At 39.5% G+C, this 21,584-nt stretch overlaps 1 protein-coding gene across 17 annotated transcripts in view; it reads right to left on the reverse strand.

Moving 5' to 3' along the window:
* Positions 1–21,584, reverse strand: part of KIF16B (kinesin family member 16B) — a 301,345-nt gene that overhangs the window by 129,533 nt on the left and 150,228 nt on the right. For all 17 annotated transcript variants that reach the window (XM_047440266.1, XM_047440264.1, NM_001199865.2 and 14 more), the window contains exons 16-17: positions 4,738–4,820; positions 3,177–3,265 (exon numbers count right to left, since the gene is read on the reverse strand). In XM_047440266.1, coding sequence (XP_047296222.1) covers positions 3,177–3,265; positions 4,738–4,820 — 172 coding nt within the window. The remainder of the gene's footprint in view (positions 1–3,176; positions 3,266–4,737; positions 4,821–21,584) is intronic.

The raw sequence follows: 21,584 nt of genomic DNA on the forward strand, positions 1-21,584 counted from the left end.
TAGGAAGTATACATAAGCAGAGTTCTTACTCGACTGCTAGCCCAGGCCTGTCCTCCCTGTCTCCCCCATCTCAGGGAAGAGTGTACCACCTGCAGCAGCTGTTTAAACCTGAATCCTGGGAGTTACTCTTAATTCCTTGATTCTACTTTGCTCCACTTCTATGGCTAAAGTGCAGATCCAAGCCACTATTACCTTTCACTTGGATTAAGGAAATAGCTTTCTAAATGGTCTTCTGCTTCTATGCCACATTCTCCAAATGGCATACATCCTGATATTTGTATTAAGTACATCTTCAGGTTACTCTCTTGCTTAAATCATTCTAGTGGTTTGCCAGCTCTCTTAAAAAACAGTCAAACCCCTTCCAATTGCCAGCACGGCCCTACATTAGCTGGCCCTTGACCTCCCCTCCCTCACTTGTACCACTCTTCTTCTTGCTTACTATATCCCATCTACTCTGGCCCTCTCTTCACTTCTCATTTTGATGCCATCACACTTGCTTTCCCCTTCAGTCTCAATGCTTTCCATTCTCCCCCTTTCTGTTTTATGAGTGTCATTTTCTCTCCATACAAGTCTTAGACCAAACATCCCTTCTTCAGGAAGCCATTCCTGATCACTCCATCAAACACTGTCCTAAGACATTTGATTTCATTTCATTTTCACTTCCTGGATTTATTTTTAAATTATCTGTTGACTGTGTCTCTCCTCCAACAAGCATGCAAGCTGACCTTCTCAGGATTACTGGCAATGGTGCCCCCGTCCTAGAATCCTGACTGGTTCATAGGAGGCATTCAGAGAGGATTTGTTGACAGATGAATATATGTTACAAAGAAGACAAAATAAGGAGGAAAGAAATGGAGCAATGTACAGTGAAGAAGGGACATTGATTTTTGGTTGTGGGGAAGAAAGTCAGGAATAGCATCCACAGCAGAGTTTGTCTGTACTATGCCCTGGAGGACGAGTAGGTAGCCAGGCAAAAATGCATCCCAGGCTCTGGAACTAGCAAAGGAAAGCCCCAGAGGCACAGGCTAGTCCACATGTGACTGAGCAATAAAACAACAGCAGAAAACTGGAGCTCAGAACACCTGGAGAGAGGTCCAGAGATGAGCACAGACAGTGGACAGCCCGAGTGACATGGTGCAGGCTGGGACTTTATTTTTTAGACCATGGAAAGTCACTGAAAAGTTCTGAGGATGAAAACTAGTAACTTTGACCTGCATTTTGTAAACACTGAGGAAAACTATTTGAACTTAAAAACTAAAAACAAAAAATGGCATTACTTTTAAGAGAACTACACTTTCTCCTGTTTTAGGGAGAAAAAAGAAAGACTTCCATCTCACGTATATATGTAAGGCAAAGAGGGGCCCATGGCTAGTGACCCTGTGCTCAAAGGAAAGGCTGAGTGAAGATAGCGTTTTGGTTTTCAAAGCCATTGAATAGCCATATTACATTAGCAAATGGCTTCACATTAAAAGGTACCACCACTGTGGAGGATAATAACGATAGTACCTGGATTCCAGGATTAACTAACTGGGTCCTGGGCCAGGAGACAAAACCAAGCCAGCACTCTTCATATCACAGACAATTTAACTAGACAAACAATATTTAACGGATGGGATCACACTATTTTAGCTGAAATTACACTAAAGATCTGTGTATTATATTAAACTTAAACATTAGTGATTCCATCTTGGTCACAATAAAAGGCAACTGCTAAAACTACTGTAAGGAATTAAAGACCTACAACAAAACGTGCCTCTGAAGTACTTACCATTTAGTTGCTCTGAGAATGTTCTCCCATTTCAGAGGTCTGATTGATATGGCTTATTTCAGGACAGAATTATTTAATGAGCACAACTTTCCTCAATGACCATGTAACAAAATGGAAAGACCAAATAGGAAAGACAAAGGCTGACACAAGGGAGTCAACTGCTGGTGCTTCCAGAAATCCTGGAAAGCGGGGGTGGGGGCGCCCAGGAGTCCACAGCCACAGTGCTGTACTACATGGCTTTTTTTCTTAAGTTCAGGCAGGTGTTGGATTTGGGCTTCAGCTTGCTGGCCCATAAAATGAGGAATCCAGAAATGTGATCAAAGATCCCTCCTATGACACTGAAGAAATTCCTTGTAGGTATCTGCTTTCCACAAACCAGAACACTGGCTTGGGCTGAAGGAGTGAATGGCTTTCAGCACACAGCTTGATGTTTGTGAGAAATCCCAGGGTTGGGGGTGAGGGAGCAATGGAAAATGGAACCAGTCCCCCAACTGCAGGAGGTGACAGAGTCAAAGCATGAGTGATGGAATCAGATAGACCTGGATGCATGCTTCAGCTCTGACTATGAAACTGACGGAGAGCAAATGTATAAATATTTCCCCACATGTAAAATGGGAATAGGTTTGTGAGAATTAAAAGATCACGGATTCAAGGTGCTTAACATAGTGCCTGGCATATAGTAACTACTAAATAAATGACAGTTCTAGAAAATGTTGTTCTTGTTACTTCACTTGTTCAGCCATTTGATTTACCTCCATTATTTTACATGAGATTATCCTGGTAGGAAAGATAAAATTATGGAACCTCTCACAACCGAAAAGGGCCCTCAAAGTTCCCTGTTTTTAGGCATTTTCATTATCACTGTCATTTTATTGATGAAGCACTAAGGACATGAGTTAAGCTGACTGTCCAAGGTCACCCAGCCACTAAGTCAATTTAAAACACTCTCATTTGTGCTCTCAGCAGTCCCCTAGTGTTCGAAGTAGTGAAGATAATTTCCTGCTCCATTGGATGGCCTAAGAATCAGGCTGCCTCTGTTATAATTTATAAAACGAGATAAAAGTGCGTAAGCCAAAGGGATCATGCACTAAGTAATCAAAGTGCCAACTCTAAAATATTAGACAGTTATGAAAATGATAATGAAGCTTGTAACAACACTCACGAATGCTTATTATGCTGTTAAGCAAAAAATCAGAAAATGCAAAACTGTTTATGTTGTGATTATAACTAAGTAAAATTATGCACATATATAGTAAGGGCTGGAAAGGAACTCGGAAAATGACGGTGGCTGATTTGATAAGGAGGCGCCGTTGCAGAAGTTTTATTTTTACCTTGTGACTATAATGGAGTTGGCACAATAAATGCAAAAGTGATCATCACAGGGAAGGAGATGCTGCTGTTCACTCACCCGGGGTTATACAACATGACTGCAGACAGGTTCTCACGGGACTTCGAGAGGTCGGTCATGGACAAGCTGAAGGAGGACAGAAGGCCACTCTAAGGGCAGACACAGGGCAGAGTGGTTACCTTAGCAGAGAAGAAAAGGCCACTGCTCTGGACTCATTGCTTCCAACATGTGAGAGACAATGAGGTGCACATGCTCCTAATTAACACGCACCACAATTAACTGGTCTATCTGAGGAAAGCAGATCATGGGCAGTAAGGCCCTGATACATTTCAAACCCGAGCCTTCTCCTAAGTACAGCAGGACCTTGGCCTTCTAGGGCTGGGGAAATTCATCAGGAATTCCACAACCCAGTTGGTCTCCCCTGCCGGTTAAAGTCAAGGAAAGGGGTCACAATATCTTTGCCATCCTCCATTACCTGGCAGGCAGCAATCTCCTATAATCAGCGATATTCCCTCACACTTAGAACGATAAAGAAGAAGGCAGGAGGGGTGAAGGGAGACCAAAAGTAAGAGCTTGACCTATTTTGCTTCCAAGGGAAGCTATTGGCAAACATGTTTTTTCCCTCTGTTCCTCTGAAACTGTGTACCAAAAACGACCCTCTAGGGAGACCCTGGGCTAGAGCAGATAAGAGGCTCCACTGGCCGGAAAAAGCCACCCAGGAGAAGGCTGAGGTTTGCAGCTTTCTTGCTATTTTCCAATTAGGGCACTGGCAACCTCGGGCATCCCTTATAAAGGAGACAGAAATGAGAGTCTGGGTAACCAGTGGTCAAGGGCAAACACTTCTGGTATTCAAGTCAGTACTGCAGCCAAAGCTCCCCATTTGCCGGCTACAGAACAAGTTAGGGAGAGTTGCTCTTGGTCTGTTTCTCATCTTGACCTGGGGGTGATAGCATGGGGGTATTAACGGCTGCTGCACAGATAAAGAGATAGAATATATGTACAAGTTTAGCACCATTCCTGGCTCGTAGAAATGTTAGCTGTAGCCTTTATTATTTTCTTCAGTCTAAGGACCAGCCACGATGTCCCTGAACAGATTTCTTTCTTTCTTTCTCTGGTCCTTAGCTCCTTCCCCATCAGCACTTAAACGTCCTGCCCTTTAGACGTCCCCTTCCAACCAAACCAAAGTCTTTCCCAGTTGTCCTAAACCCACCCCTGCTCTCGCTTCCCACCTCAATGAAAAATCTGTTTACTGTGGCTGATTTTGGATTAATGTGATTCCAATGTTGGGTTAATTCCTAACAGATGCTGATTAGAGGAAGTCACTCTCCACCTAATGCAAAATGATGCCCAGTTCCTTGGTGGGAAGGGTGGAAGGCTGAAGAGAAGGATCTAGGAGGAGCAGTTTCTCCCTGTCTGCTCTAGAATTTACTTGCTTGCTCTCTTACTTCATCAGCCAATCATCTGCTGGGAAACAATCTCCCTAGAATCAATCCAGATCACAGAACTACTTTTCCACGGTTCTGCACCCCAGAAAGTCAAAAGATTGGAACCAGAGTGACCACCACCCACTCATCCTCACATACGATCAGTGGTTCCCTCCTAGAGACGCCGTGTCCCTCACCTTCCTCTTCTCCCTGAGCTTGGCGGCTTCCTTTGGATGGTTAAAGCGAAACATATTGGTTCTTCCCAAGAGAATCACAGCACCTGAAAACACACAAAAACAGTAATGAATTTACAGTAAGCAGTCTGGTCAGTTGCCAATACCATAACATGGAATTCTACTGTTGAAATGTAATTTCCAGTGTATTATAAAATAATAAGGGAAAGCTTTAGTCTCAAAAGTCTGCTTACTTAAGACAATTTCAAATCTGGAAATACCTTTATTTTTACAGCTGAGTGTCACAACACACATTATATCCTCATATCCATAATATCCAGCAGAAGTGATGAATCTAAGCATTACAACATATTATGAGATTTAAAACTTAACAGACATATAATTAGACTTTTGATTGTCTGGAAGAAAAAAGGAAACCAGTTCTCCAAAGAGATATAATATCAAGCAAAGCATATGGTCACAACTTTAGGAATGTTTATTGATACTGGTAAAAGTAGAAATCTCAAAAGAAAAGTGCTTTCAAAAGAAAACGTATGGAATTGGCATAATATAGGTAACTATTACTAAAATCTCCCTCAGAATTTGACGGGAGAGAACTTGTGTACATTTATGGTCTATTTCCAAATAAAAACACTGCTTCTTCTCAAAACCCTATTAAAATTCCACATTAGACCCATAAGAAAGGGTCCTTTTGACTGATGACAGTCTTCCTTATTCAGAAAACAACTGCACAAGGGGCAAAATAATTCAAGGGAAATGCCCAAGGAAAACAAAAGCATGGGAAGAGGCAAATTTCAGCTTGATGAAGCAAACAAACCCATTTTAGGGTCACAGCTGTCTAAAGCGGGCACAGGTGCCTGCAGGGCTGTGAGCTCCTTGTCACCAGAGGCATGTAAGAGAAAAGATGTTGCAGAAGAGGTTCACTGTGTCTTCTGAAGTCCCATCCATGTATGAGAGGCCACGTGTATGGTCCCATCCACGTATGAGAGTCTACAATGCCTCAGGGCATCAATGAAGATAAGACACATGCACTGACAGTCAACCATGAAGAATGACAGGTGAGTGCTTAAGTGTCTAGCACACTTAGCTGAGTGTGTGATTAAGTGACGAGTGGAGCCTGGAGTAGCTGGGGACAGGCTTCTGCACCAAGGACCTAAGTTGGGTCTCACCGGATAACCAGAGGGCAAGAGGAAGTGTTCCATGTTGGGTAATTGCAGAGAGAGTCTAAGCTATAGAAAGGAGAATGGCCTGCTATGCTCAGGACAGAGGAGAGAATCATGTCCATCCAAAGTTCAGGATGTTTGAAACAGCATCAAGAATCAATACTGGATAGATGAAATAGCCTGTGAAGACCGGAGAACAAGTATGAGAGTTTAGACCAGAGGTCACAAACTGGTGGCCAGAGGAAAAACTCCAGTCTATAGATGTATTTTTTTGTGTTCCCTGTCATGTTTCAAAAACAAAATCTTTAGTTGGCAAGAGTTCAAAGTCTGGAGAGTTCACATAAAAGTCTGGGTACTTTTCTAGCATTCCTTCAAAATTCCTAAGATATGCTATCAGTAGATCTTTGTTTGCACTTAGCAAAAATCCCTGGGCTGCTGAGAGTTGCCTCCTTTGCACAGGTGACCTCTGGTTGACCACAGTCACTAGCCTCTTGCTTGGGTAATATCTTCACCTGGGCCCTGCAGGAAATATCATAATACCAGATATCTATTCTGGAGCTCAGGCCAGCATATCCACCTGCCTATTTGATGTATTGTTTTGGACAACTCAAGGGAGTTTCAAATTCAATATGATTAAAACCTAACAGGTTTAAATAACAACGACAGGGAGCAACTGATATGGGTTGGTTTTAGTGGTTGTCATTATTTAGCAGAAACAAAGTCACTATGAAAAGGAGGATAAGACAGTTTAGGAGCCCTAGTGGGGCAGCAGCAGATATTATCCACTCTACAATTTGCTTATCCCTGTCATGCAGAATTGCATTTGTATTTTTTCCAATTATGGCAAGACCATTACCATGATAAAAAAGGTGTTTCCCATGCCTTTTACGACTAGGACTACATAGTAAGCCAAAAGCTAAGCAGCCACGTCTAGGATGTATGTATATTTAATGCTGTTAAAGTTACATTAGAGATTAATAAAGCAATCACATTCCAGGTGTTAATTACATCTCCAATTCTTCTTTTTTTCTGTTAATCAAATGCCCAGTCATGCAAGTTGAAAATTGCTAAAATATGTTAATGGAAAAATAGAATGGTATTTCAGAGACATATTTCAAATTGTATTAAATCATTGAAAATAATCTTGCCACCCATGTTATCTGCATGAAATACACACAAAAAGCCCTGTAAGGAGTTATAAAAGAAAGCAAAACTATCATGACAATTCAGTGCTTCCATCTAGATAATGTTTGAGTCAACTGTCTGGCATGTTAAAAGGGGTCCATTAAGGCTGGTTTCCTTCCCTTTCTTCTTCTAAGCACCTGTACTCAACAAATCTCGTGAATTTAAAAATTTGCTTCATTTTTACATGATGCCACTGTTCATTCAGCAAATATTTAATGAACACTTACTGTATGCCAGTCACTGTGATAAACATGGGGGATACAGAGTTGAGCAATTCAGACATACGCTTTGCCTTTATGGAGCTTTAAAAAATGTCAGAGAGAGAGATAAATAATCAAATAATGAAATGATTCCACAAATAAATGCAAAGCTGCAGCTGAAGGAGAAGAACTGTGTCCTGGGCTCAAAGAGCAACAATGATAAGGGTTTATTATAGGGGAAACTAGAGAAGGATATCTTCAAGGGAGGTGGTGTCTAAAACAAGCTCTGAGAACAAGTTGGGAGAGTGTCTTGCATAAAAGCAATAATGATCATGATGATGATTGATGATAATAATGAGGAGGAAGATGCCACCAAGAATGAGTGACTGGAAGACAACCATGTGGCTATGGCAAAGGGAACAAGAGTGAGCACTGCACCAACATAAGGCTTGAGAAGGAGGGAGAAAGTGAATCAACTCAAATGTTTCAGGATGTAAAGGATCTTGTGTTTTATCTAGTTGTAAGAGGAAGACACTGAAGGGCTCTGTGCAGCAGCATAACATGATTAGATTTCAGTTTCACCAAAGATCATTCTTGCAATGGTGACTGAAGAAAGGCCAAACAGGGCAAGAGTGAATATGGCTAAGCAAGCCAGGTGGCTACTACAGTGGTCCAGGTAAGTGATGATGGCTCTGGACTGGGGGAAAGGGTTACCAAAGCAGAGAAGTAAAACAAAACTGGAAGATATGTAGGAGATAAAATCAATATGATTTGATGATGGGCTAGACACAAAGAGGAGACGGGGGTGAGGAAGATGGCTTCTGGGTTCTGGAATGCATCACTAGTTGAATGGGGAGTCTTCTGCACAGACTGAGAACACTGGAAAAGGACCAAGATGGGGTGGGGAAAAATCATGAGTTTGGTTTTGGACATAATGAATTAGAGATGCATTTGGCAAATGAAAATATGGGTTTGAAGCTCTTGAATAAAAGTCTGGGATGTCGATCTACCTTCCTACCCACTTACCTACATATATATATATATATATATACATATATATATATATATATATATGTAGGTACATATATATATGTAGGTACATATATATATGTAGGTACATATATATATGTTGGTACATATATATATATGTAGGTACATATATATATATGTAGGTACATATATATATATGTAGGTACATATATATATGTAGGTACATATATATATGTAGGTACATATACATATATGTAGGTACATATATATATGTAGGTACATATACATATATGTAGGTACATATACATGTAGGTACATATACATATATGTAGGTACATATATATATGTCGGTGTACATATATATATATGTAGGTACGTACCTACATATATATGTGTGTGTGTGTGTGTGTGTATATGTGTGTGTGTATGTGTGTGTATATATATATAGAGAGAGAGACATATACATACACACACATATACAGGTTGACTATCCCTTAGCCAAAATGCTTGGGACAAAAAGGGTTTTGGAGTTCTGATTATTTTTTGGATTTCAGAATACTGGAATATATATAATGAGATATCTTGGAAATGGGACCCAAGTCTAAACATGAAATTTATTTATGCTTCATATACACTTATAGAGAGTCCTGAAAGTAACTTTATACAATATTTTAAATAATTTTGTGAATGAAACAAAGTTAGTGTACAGGGAACAATCAGAAAGCAAAGGTGCCACTATCTGAGCCACCCATGTGGACAATCTGCAGTTGCTTAGCATCACCATCATTCCTGATTCTGAATTATATGCTGCTGATAAGCAATCACCTGGTGATCCATGTCTTTTTGTTAGCATAATGAACAAGTAGGAAATTCACTCCTTGAACTGAAAACAGGGAGGATGCAAGCTTTTGCTTATCACAGCAATTTTACATTTACGCATGCCTGCTGCATTAGCACATCTCAGCACAGTTATTCTGTCCTTGGCACCCTTAGTTCCTGTAGGGGCTGCCTCATTGTCTGCAGTCAGTGTCTTTCTAGAGCAATAATGCCAAAACGGTGATGTTTCATCAGCATTACAGACTTGGTTCTGGTGTCAGATTTTCATCACCGATGACCTTGACATACTCGTCAATAAATTTCTCTGCTGCTTCATAGTAAGCAGATACTTTATCACCACAAATCTTTAAAATGTAATGCTGTGTCTGTTCCTAAATGTCTGCAACCAGCCTGCTGAATATTCACAGTTTCCTTCAATTTTTGGTTCATTGTGATAGATTTTTGCTTGTTTTCATGATCAGCTTCCCATTAAGTGGCAAGTATTCACTGTGACACTGATGGGATCCACTCTTTTAATACACAATTGAGATCTTCACTTTTAGCTTTATGCTGTGTTTTTCTATTTTTCATTTATGTGTATTTATTACTTTGAGCATAGAACTTAGCCTTCTGTTTCTTCAGGTCATATATGATGGCCACTTCAACACTATACTCTTCTGTAAGACATTTCACACTTAACACCACCATCCTGTTTCTCTAACAGCTTTACCTTCTGTGCCACAGATCAACATAAATGGTTCCTGTGTTTCTTATCACTGTTGTCCACAGGAGTAGCTGCAGACCTTTCTGACATGTTCAAACATTATCTTTACAGCACAGAGCAGAGAATAAGTAAGAAAAAAAAACCCACAGTGAGTAATGCATGCAGGTCTTGGACCTGCGCAGGGTATCATGGGGAACATACTATTGTCATGTGTGGCCTGAACATCTGCCATTTTTTTGTCCTTTGTGGGCATACTCGTATGGGGAATCTGGACATGTGCCGAAAAGATACACTGAAGCTGAAGGGGACTAGGGGGGCCTCTTTTCCTTTGTGGATATTGAACAAACTGTGTGTGTGGTGGACCTAAGTTTTGATTGCGACCCCATCACATGAGGTTAGGTGTGGAGTTTTCCACTTGTGGTGTTATGCTGGCCCTCAAAAACTTTTGGACATTTCGGATTTCTGATGAGGAATGTTCAACGTGTGTGTGTGTGTGTGTGTGTGTGTGTGTGTGTGTGTGTGTGACTCATTGCTAATAAATGAAACTATAGGAGTAGGAAAGAAACCTGAGACAAAATACAGAGGTAGAAGACAAGAGGACCTAACATTGGGCACCTGAAGGAATGCTGACTTCTAATGGCCAAGTAGAAGAAAATAAACTTACAGAGGAAACAGAGAAGAGACCATGAGAGAGGGAGAAAGAAACCCTCCAAAGCCAAGGAAAAGAGGGGCCAACAATGCAGAATGCTTCTCAGAGGTCAACTGAGACAAAAAGACTAGAAAACACCATTGGGTGTGGTGGCATAGAGGTCACAAGTGGTGTTAGTGGGAGCTGATTTGGTAGTAGACCGAGGCCAGAAGGAAGAGACTGAGGAATGCAGAAGAGGTAAGGAAATGCAGATGTACTGGGCACAGGCAACTCTTTCAAGAAGTCTATGAATGAAGAGAAAGAGTTGGTAGTAGCCAGAGGGGATGATAGTGTATTAGTCCATTCTCATACTGCCAATAAAGATATACCCAAGACTGGGTAATTTATAAAGTAAAGAGATGTAACTGACTCACAGTTCAGCATAGCTGAAGAGACCTCAGAAAACTTAATAATCAAGGTGGAAGGGGAAGCAAACATGTCCTCTTTACATGGCAGCAAGAAGTGCCGCATAAAAATGGGGAAAGCCCCTTATAATACCATCAGATCTCGTGAGAACTCACCATCACAAGAACAGCAGAATGGGGGTAACCACCCCCATGATTCAACTATCTCCCACCAGTTCCCTCCCATGACATGTGGGGATTATGGGAACTACAATTCCAGATGAAATTTGGGTGGGGACACGGCCAAACCATATCAGATAGATCCTGCAGGATATTTTATTTTTTGTTAAAACTTATATGTATACTTAAAATGCAATAAGCAAACTGAAGGGCATAAAGAGGAATAAATGAATAAAAGAACTAATGAATGAGAATGGCTGATAATGTAGTTTCTTGATGAAACCTGAAGAGTGTGTGCTTCCCAGAAATCTCGGTGTGGTTAAGGACAAGTCAGTGCTTAATCTCTCCAGAATTCAGTTTCCTCATCTAGTTATCAAACTGGACAATTTCTAAGATTCCTTCCAGATCTTAAATTCTTGTCAACCATGAACCATTTGGTCTGAGGTCAGTGTGATTAACAGCAGCAGATGGACTTTATGTGATGCACTTAATTTGTAATTTTGCAAGCATTTCTAAACCTCCTTGAAATAATGACTTCTTTGAGATTAATTCAGAGTTTGCTAAATACCCAAAGACAGACAAATTCCAGAGAGTCTTCAGAGGGGATGGAGGGGACATGACATTGTGAAAGCATAGACAAAGACATTGCTGGTTTCACATGAGACTCTCTATTCTAATATTTCAAGTAAGCTGACAGAAGTAAATCTGCAAACGTTTCTAGTGATTCCTAAGGAATGCAGGGACAATAATCATTAATATCACCAATAATTACCCTCTTCAAGTTTTATGAGATTTTCTAATTCTGCTACTGCACAAATAAAACAACTCATTTTTTCTCCTACTGTTTTCATATGAATATTTCTGAGGTAATAATGTACCAATTATTTCATTTTGGGTTACAAATACTACAAACATATGAGACAACTGTGTTCCCACAAGTGTGTGGTTCACACTTTAGAGGCTGTGGTGTCAATAAAAATGAGAGGCCCTTTGTAATTCTGTTTCGAGACTCCTAGTTCTACATTTTACTTTAGAAACACCCCCTGCCCCCCACCAACCAAAACATACCCCCCGCCCTCCACCAACCAACACACACACATAGGATGCAATGCACTGTGAAAGCAAGCTCAGTGGAAGAAAGGTTATCATTTTAGATGTGACAGGTGGAGAAACCAAACTCTGTCAGGAACATACAATTTTCTGAAATGGTATTGAGTGAGAGGCTGAACTGAGGTAGGGCAGGTAAAGTTCTTATTTCATTGCCTGATTGAAGCAAAAAGAAACTTGCTTGTGTGTGACATTTTCCTTCTGATTTAAAATATCTTAAAGATATTTATTTATATTAAAATAAGTTATGATGATGATACCATTTAGGGAAACTGATAAGAAAACATCTAATTTCCACTAATACATGCCAATACTTAAGAACAGATTAAGTAATATGTTCTAGGGCCTTAGACTTGGTGACACAGATTTTATTATTTCAAACACGAGAATTATAGTACTTTTTCTCTATATCAAAAATGGCTTTAGGAAGCTAGATAGGAAAAGATGAAGATGGAACATGGTGTCTGTGGTGGGTAAGAAAATTTCACATAAATACTAAACAAATTCAAGCAGGACATATGGCTTGGTGTTAATGGCTGGCTTGCGAATGAATGACAGGCACTCTGCAACAAAGGCAGCAGGCATCAGTATCACATCATGCCATCAGATCATCAGTTAGTAATTCTGAAGAATAAACATGAAATGATACCTTATCAAAAAGCTACGTTGACCTTGTCCCTTCTTTTTCAATGTTTACAATTCAAATATGGATTTACAATTTCCTGCTTTAGATAAATCACTTCAACCTCTGTTTACCCTTAGTAAAGTAAAAATTGGAAACTTAGATTCTGGGACTCTGTAGAAGAAAGAAAATTGATTTTCAATCTTGGCTACTGAAGTTTCCAGCCAAATTATCCATCAAGAATGATTTGCCCAACTGTGTGCACAAACTGAGTTTGAAGCTTTGTAAAATTTCGAGATGCTCCAGTCCCATACCCAAAGACATTTTTAGATGTGTGTGTCGGAGCAGGGAGAGGGGGTGGTAAGTGGGAGCTGATATTTTTCTTAACACCTCATGCGAGAAACAAAAAGAGCACAGACATCCCCAACTTAAGACGGTTCTACTTACAATTCTTCAACTTTATGATGGTGCAAGAGTGATACACATTCAGTACAGTATTCAACAAATTACATGAAATATTCAACACTTGATTATAAACTAGGCTTTGCGTTAGATGATTTTGCCCAGTGTTCTGAGCATATTTAAGGTAGGATAGACTAAGCTGTGATGCTCAATAGGTTAGGTGTATTAAATGCATCTTCAACTTAGGATATTTTCAGTTTACAATGGATTTATCAGGACACAGCCTCATTGTAATTCAAGGAATATCTGTATATGGAATAGGTCTGTCCTTCTGCAGGAAAATGTAGAAAGCACAGGAAATGATTAGAGGGCAATTCAAGACAGTGTATAGTCACATGATAAATTCCAAAGTACTGAAGGGAAAGCATTACACAATTGGTCAAGCTATTAGTAACTTTCTTTCCATTCTTGCCCAGTAGTCCACATTCTTTGCTACCAACTTCTTATTCACTATTAGTAATCATCTCAATTATTTATTTCTAGGCTCATACGCACTCCACAGTGTCAATATCCTATTGTTCCTTCCGAAATAGTTCTTGCACAATGCCTCCCTTCCTTCAGCTCCCAAAGTCTTTTACCTTCAACCCCTTTTCCTCACGGCTCTTCTATCAGCCTCCCTTTGAGCTAAACAAAAGCTGCATCATCTTCACCTCTCAGCCCACATTACCCATCTACTGAGTGGTCAGCACAGACTTCCTTCTGCTTTCCACAGAAAATTCATGCAACTGATCTAGAACTTAAGAGCCCTACAGACCTGCCCATGACTCAGACTCAACAGCGTTGATCTCACTACTCCTTCTCCTCCCTCCATCCCCTTTCCAGTCTTAGACATTTCTTCACTACACACTTTGGCTGAAGAGCATCTAAGTCACTTTTTCACTATATGCCATTAAGACAAATACATTCACTTCAGAATTCAACTTTGGGTACATTCCCCCTTTTCAGCAGTCTAAACCACCCTCTGGGAGGAGTTTTGGTTCTGCATAAGCTGAAACAAGCACACTCCACCCTGTTTCTCCTAAGGAATGTAGCTATAGCCTGAACAAAATGCATGTAGTAGTTATTTGAGGGCCTTGGGAAGTAAAGAGTAGCTGTTGCAGTTCTCTAATAACCAGTGATATTAGGCTTTTATTCATATGTTTCTTGACTACATGTATGTCTTCTTTTGAGAAGTGTTTATTCATGTCCTTTGCTCACTTTTTAATGTTTATTTTTTCTTGTAAATTTGCTTAAGTTCCTTGTAGATTCTGGACATTAGACCTTTGTCAGATGAATAGATTACCAAAATTTTCTCCCATTCTGTAGGTTGTCTGTTTGCTCTGATTATATTTTCTTTTGCTGTGCAGAAGCTCTTTAGTTTAATTAGATCTCACTTGTCAATTTTTGCTTTTGTTGCAACTGCTTTTGGCAATTTCTTCATAAAAATCTTTGCCCATGCCTATGTCCTGAATGGTATTGCCTACACTTTCTTCTAAGGGTTTTATAGTTTGGGTTTTACATTTAAGTCTTTAATCCATCTTGAGTTAATTTTTGTATAAGGTGTAAGGAAGGGGTCCAGTTTCAATTTTCTGCATATGGCTAGCCAGTTCTCTGAGCCATTATTCTCAGCAAACTAACACAGGAACAGAAAACCAAACACCACATGTTCTCACTTGTAAGTGGGAGCTGAACAATGAGAACACATGGACACAGGGAGGGGAACACCACACACTGGGGCCTGTTGTGGGAGGGTGGGGTGCGGAGACCATCAGGAAAAATAGCTAATGCATGCCATTAATACCTAGGTGATGGGTTGATAGGTGCAGCAAACCACCATGGCACACGTTTACATATGTAACAAACCTGCACATCCTGCATATGTACCCCAGAACTTTAAAAAAAAAAAAAACAGAGTAGCAGGTGGATTGAAGAAAACCAAGATTGGAAGCACCACTGAACTAACAGTGAATTTACCATTTTTTGCCTGCAGTGCTTCCCAGCTTGGTCTAGGAAGAAAGCCAAAAGTGGACAAGTGCAAAAGAGAGAACTCCAGGAGAAGCCCCCTAGTTCAGGTTGGAGGAGGAGCAGAGAGTCCCTTAGCAGCAACAGTGGGCCCATGAGGAAAGGGAATCTTTCTTTCCCATCAGAGGAGCTGTAGTCCCCCAAGAAGGTGGGGCAGATCCCTGTTGCTTTATTCCTTCCCTGTCCTCTCATTTCTTGGCCGTAGACACGGAGACAGGCATATGAAAGAGTAGAATAAATAAAGCTCAAGATTTCCAGGGAAGGGAAGACCCGAGGGAGGCAGAAAGTGCAGGAGAGATGAAGAGGGAAATATGCAGGAAAGCAACCTCACAGAGTTGTTTATTAACTCCTGGGCTCACCCCTATGTGTGTACACGTGGATCTGATCCTCAGAAGAATGCTAAGACTTTGAGAACTGAACTAAGCGACAGACCACTGCACAGGTCCCAGCCTGGCCAACGGGTAGTACACCCACTGCTACTGGAGGAGCACTGCAAAGGATCTGAACACTGAAGCAGCAGTGGAACGGCAGACACGATCTGCAAAAGCTGATGGTAACTTATGGCCTACATCCAGCTAGGTAAACTGTCTGCTGAAACAAAGGGTATAAACATTTCCCATAGGATTTAAACAAGACCCAGGATCTCATAATATCCAAAATGTCTATGACACAATCCAATATTATTCCTCAGCACAGAAAGAACCAGGAAAATCCCAACATGCATTGCAAAAAACAATCAACAAATGTTTATACTGAGATAACAAAAAGCTCCAATAAATGTTTCAATACTCTTGAAATAAGTGGAAAAATAAAAATTTCAACAAAGATAAGATATAAAGAAGAATCCAATATTACAAGTGAAAAACAAAATATTCAAAATAAAAAACTCATTGGTAGGCTCAAAGGCAGAATGGAGATGACAAAAAAAGTCAGTGAACTTAAACACAGGTCAACTGAAATGATCCAATCTGAAAAGCAAAGAAAAAAGAATTTATCAAAAAATAAAAATAGGTAAACAGAGCCTCAAGGAACTGTGAGACAATAGTAAAATATCTAACTTTTGTGTAATTGTAGTCGCAGAAGGAGAGGGGAAAGAGTATAGTGCGGGGGAAAAAAAAATTAACAAATAATGGTTGAAAACTTCCCAAATCCAGAGGAAGACAACAGCCTATGAATTTGAGAAGCTCGGCAAAACCCAAACAGGTTAACCCCGAGAAATCCATGCCAAGGCATATTGTAAAGCCAATGTACTGAATGTAAAGCTGAAAATGAAGTTTTAAAAGGAGAAGAGAGATCAAGAAAAATAGATGTGATGAGTGAAAAAAAGAGAAAAAAAGGGGTTAAACAGAATGACAAATATATGTCTCATGTCCAGAAGTCTGGTGCACCAAGAAACTAACTCCAGTATAATTAGCTTTGGCCACTTGTTCTCATATTCAAACACATGAGAAGTCAAATTCTAAGCCATCAAACTGACTGAACAGACCCCCTCTTGGCCATGGGGACCCCACAGAAACCTTGGAAATCGAGTTCCTGGACATGACACGATAGGAGGTAGGACATGCTTTCTTATACTCCCTCCTTTGCTAACTGCCACGGCTTTCATTCCTCAAGGTTCAACAGAAACCAGCCCATTGGAAAGACTTGTTTCACTGCTGACTTCAACCAACTGTCACTGCCCCTACCTTCTGTGGTTTCCACACAATGGACCAGCATTGCCTCCTGATAAGAAACCATCGACCATGGAGTGGTTCTGGCCAATCTACAGGGTGCACAGTGAATGTTTCCATGTCCTCTGCTTCAACTCTTGACATCAGAGGACCAAAAACTCTATCCTTGCATCATGCTAACCCTGCCAGTTTTTGTTCACGCAACTCATGTAGAGGCATAAGCTCAACTGTGCATGCTCATGTTTCTCCACTCATAAATATTCATGACTTCTCCTATAGCTTATTAAACATGCACATTCAGCCACCCAGCTCAGCATAAATTCCTGTTCCCTTTCCCCCTCCCTCAATGTGTCTGCTTCTGGCTTCCAGCTGGAGGCTACACTTCCCAGCCTGTCAGAATGGCCACCCTGCAGGCCTTATAAAAAATAAAGCTCTCCTTTCCAAATTTACAAACCTTGTCATTCTTCAGTTGACATGTGCATCAGAATCACAGACATAAAAAACCCGACTGCAGGGCCTGATCCCTAGATTTGCTGGTTCAGTAGGTCTAGGTGGAGCCTGGGAATTTGCATATCTAACAAGTTCTCAGGTAATGCTGATGTTGATGACATACTTTGAGGACCACTAGCTTTAGGTATAGTCTGTTAAGAAGAGTTAGGGCTTTGACATTGAAAAATAGTTGTTGAATCAGCCCATATACAAGTGACAGATGTCATATTTGCAGGTCTCTAATCTGAGGAAGACATATGATGAATGCTTAGGGTCAAGTGCAGGTGAGTCAGTGAAGGAACAGACACTGATACCTGCTGACACATAAAAGGCCTCCTCTGTTAACGGGATACCTTGGCTAAACCACTGGGAGATCTATTTCCCTTTCTAGTTCCACTAAAATTCTTTTTTAATTTGTCAGCGAACAACTCACAGCAGCCCTCCAGCAGATGAAAATTTTATCAAAGTCTCCTCAGCTCCACTCTGCAGACAATCATCTGTTCCCTCTGAGTACTTGAATAGATGAAAATATATTTTGGCACTCAAGCATAACACATTCAAATGTGCCCAAGTATAAATTTCCCAGATGCCAATTCTGTAGCACTTCTAAAAGAAGAGATGAATAGTCAATGGATCTGACAAACAAGTAAGACCAAAGGAGTCCACTTATGTGAATGGAAAAATTAATTGCATTTAACAACTATCAGCTTTAAAATAACATATTACAGTCAAAAGAAAAAATAATAATTAAAATAAGAGAGAATAGCTCCTAGAAGTTATAGGACAAATGCTGAAATACTGTTTCAATTACAATGCATCTGACTGTTGTATCATTTCATATTAAGTATATAAAACAGAAAAAAGAAAAAAATCTAAGGTCTAAGCCACTACCAAGAGGAGCTCAAGTTTTATGGACTAGTATTATGATCAAATTCACATTTTCTTCTTGGTAAAATTCACACTTTCTTGAAGAACTGGCTCTTCTTTCTTTGGAATCATCCTATAGAATCACAGTGTGGAATGAGGAGAACTAAGCTTTGGAGAATACACCAATTGAAGAGCATGTTAGATATAATGTTACATATCCCATCACTATTTCTGGAAGAACTAAAAAAAGAGGAGAAAAACTTCAGGCAACAAACTTTATATATGTCATCACAATTAATGCTCACAGTAGCAGCAAAGCCTTTTCTTTTGAGTGAAGACACTAACAGATGAAAATATTTCCTATGGTTTAAGGTGGGGAAACAGTTTATGCAATCTGACATAAGTGAGGCAGTTAACTGATACAGAAATAGAATTTGCCCTCAATGTTGACAATCTGCTAAATTTAGATAAATCTCCGATTAGTTGGCATTCACATATATGGTAAGTAATTTAGATAAGGAAGTGGTAATTACTACCAGTGTTTTTTAATGGGACAGCCTAAATAACACATTTACAAATGAACAGAAATTTACTAATGAAAAGAGACATCTGAATACCAAATATCAGCAATAAACTGGAAAGGGGTGGTGGAAAGGTAGGAAGCTGCTGGTAGTGTAAGGTGGACCAGGAATCCAGTCAATTGTGGAGTTAATATGGCTAGGAATCATTGTGACTTGAGTTACCACGCAGCCGCAGTCTCTCTTCTTGACATCTTTTACTTCTATAAAAGGAAAATGCTGCTTGGGTCTGCCTCAAAAGGTTTGTTTGTTTGTTTGTTTGTTTTTTGATCTAATCAATGGGCCAAATACAGTGAGGTCCATTCTGAGGACCAAGACACAATGAGTCAGGAAGGGTCCTAGGCCAATAACCACTCCAATTAACCAGAAACTGGGATGAGGACAGTAAATGTGGGAAACCAGGATTACCTGGACTTTAGGATCCTAGGGCTGCAGGTATGACCTAACCTGGCTTAGAGAGCTAACGAGATGAAATAGCACACACATTAAGTTATAATTATTTAAGTTTCAGAGAAATAATGCATGAATTCGAGCACGAATGATAATGAATGGTCTGCTGTAATTATTTTTGGACAGGGGTCATGGGTGAGGGCTAGGGGATGAAGGGCTGATCCAATATGGTAAGCATATAGCTACCTAAGACCCATTTCCAAGAGACTTGGCTGTCATCTGTTAATTCAAATTTGACTTTGTAGAAATTAACTAAGTGAAGGCAGAACTATGCAGAAGTGTGCTAAAAAATTTACTTAAAAACTGTTTTATGGGTAAAAGCCAAGACAGATTTCAAAGAATAAAAATGCTACTATATTTAATGCTGTTCCCCATTTATTATATTTTAATGACGTTCATATGCTGTTTTTTTCCTTTAGCTTTTTGTTTTCTTACAGATACAGTTGAAAATCCTTTTGTAGCTCCACCTGATATAACCCCCTCCTTCTTCTCCAGTGGGTAAACACTATTCTGATATAAGAATGTATCTGTCTCATTCATGACTCTTTTATTTTTACTACATATTTTCATAACCAGAAACACTACATCACATCATTTTGTGTTTTAAAAACATGTTCCATTTCCCATTTTAATAATCCACAAACATCACGAAAAGTTAAGTAAAGAATTCTAATCCTTAATTTCTGAAGGACTATAGACTTTTTTTCTTTAATGAGATCTTTTGGTCTTAAAGTATGTGTAATTAAAAGAAAAGTTATCACCTTGCTTTTTTGTACAATGCATTGAAACAAAGTCATCTCGCATTTTACTGCCCTAAGACATGCTAATGACATTTACATTCACTGCACAGCGTTTTAACACCTTCAAACATAGTATTTTTATGTTAATTTCATTAACAGTGATACTGAGAAAGCTGTTCAGTAGCACAGCAGAATGCCAGAGGAACTCAAGCCCATCAGATCTGAAGATCATGGCACCATGCTAATAAAACAATTAAGAGCATCCCGCAGGGAAAGACAATTCCGACAATTAACCTTCAATGCCAATTAGTACCAGTACTGTCCGAGGAAAAGTCGTATCTTCAATATGAAGATAAAAAATTTGGTTCCTAACCTGAATCATTAACCAGAATAGGCATATTATTTAAATGAACTCTCAGTTTAGGTAAAAGTTTAAGATCAAAAACCACTTAATAAAAATACTGCGTGGGAGATACATTATTTATATACCATGCCTCAATTCACAAGACAATTAGAGAGGTAATCATCGCTATATAAACAATTTCTTCTAACTAACTAAATAAGCAAATAAGCTTTCCTTAAGGCGGTGGGGAAGGTAGAAGGATAACCCCAAAATTAAATTTTAAGTTCTAGACAGTGTCCGTGTGTGTGCTCTAAAAGTTCCTTTTGTCTTTTTGGTGTTTGGAATTCAGTACTGATTTTCTCACAGAAAAAGCATTACATGCTAGCTTCTCAGCAAATCCACAAGAGACTATTTTACCTATAACACGGCAGGAACATTGCTGGTCAATGTAATCTACTCAGCATCAAGTGGCCAGGGCTATGGGTGGTGGGAGCTCCAGGAGCTCCAGAGAAGAGTGACTGTGGCAGAGAACTATTCCAAAATAGTTCAAAGGTGGGGGGCAACAAAGCCAGGTGGATCCAGCAGCCAGTATGGATGTTTGGGGGCTATTTGTGATTTAAGAACTACTTATACTAAATAATTCCCCCAAAGTAATCTCAGTTCTATACAACTATAATGTGTTTGGAATTTGTATACATAAATGAACACAGTTCAACAAATGTATACATTAAAAACTTTCAAAGTTTTACTGAAAGAAATAGATGATAATTCAAACACAAGAGGGATATTGCATAAGAAGTTCCAAGATGGAAACATATTTTTCCAAATGCAAACAAATCAAACAAAATTAGAATCTAACTCCTCAAATTACATTTTAGCACAACAAAACTATCCTAATATTTAAAGAAAAAATTTCTTTAAAAAGTTAATAAGCACACATAGTAAAAAGACACTCCAATGAAAATAGAGATTAAAACATATTATAAAATAATAAACATCAAAACTGTGTGATACTGCTTCAAAAGTGAAAACATGGAGTACTGGAACAACAGGAGGGCCAAGAAATAGATATAATGCTGTATGTGTTTTCATTTTAGGTAAAGCAAGTTTCTTCAAAAGGGAGGTGGGTATAAGCAGGGAAAGGTTATAATAAATGGCATACCAATATGAGGAAGAAAAAAGTTGGAGCTACACTTTATAAACCAATGAACCCAGGTGTATTAAACAAATA

Source organism: Homo sapiens, chromosome 20 (assembly GCF_000001405.40).
Source record: "Homo sapiens chromosome 20, GRCh38.p14 Primary Assembly".
In the NCBI taxonomy this organism is placed as follows: Eukaryota; Metazoa; Chordata; class Mammalia; order Primates; family Hominidae; genus Homo; species Homo sapiens.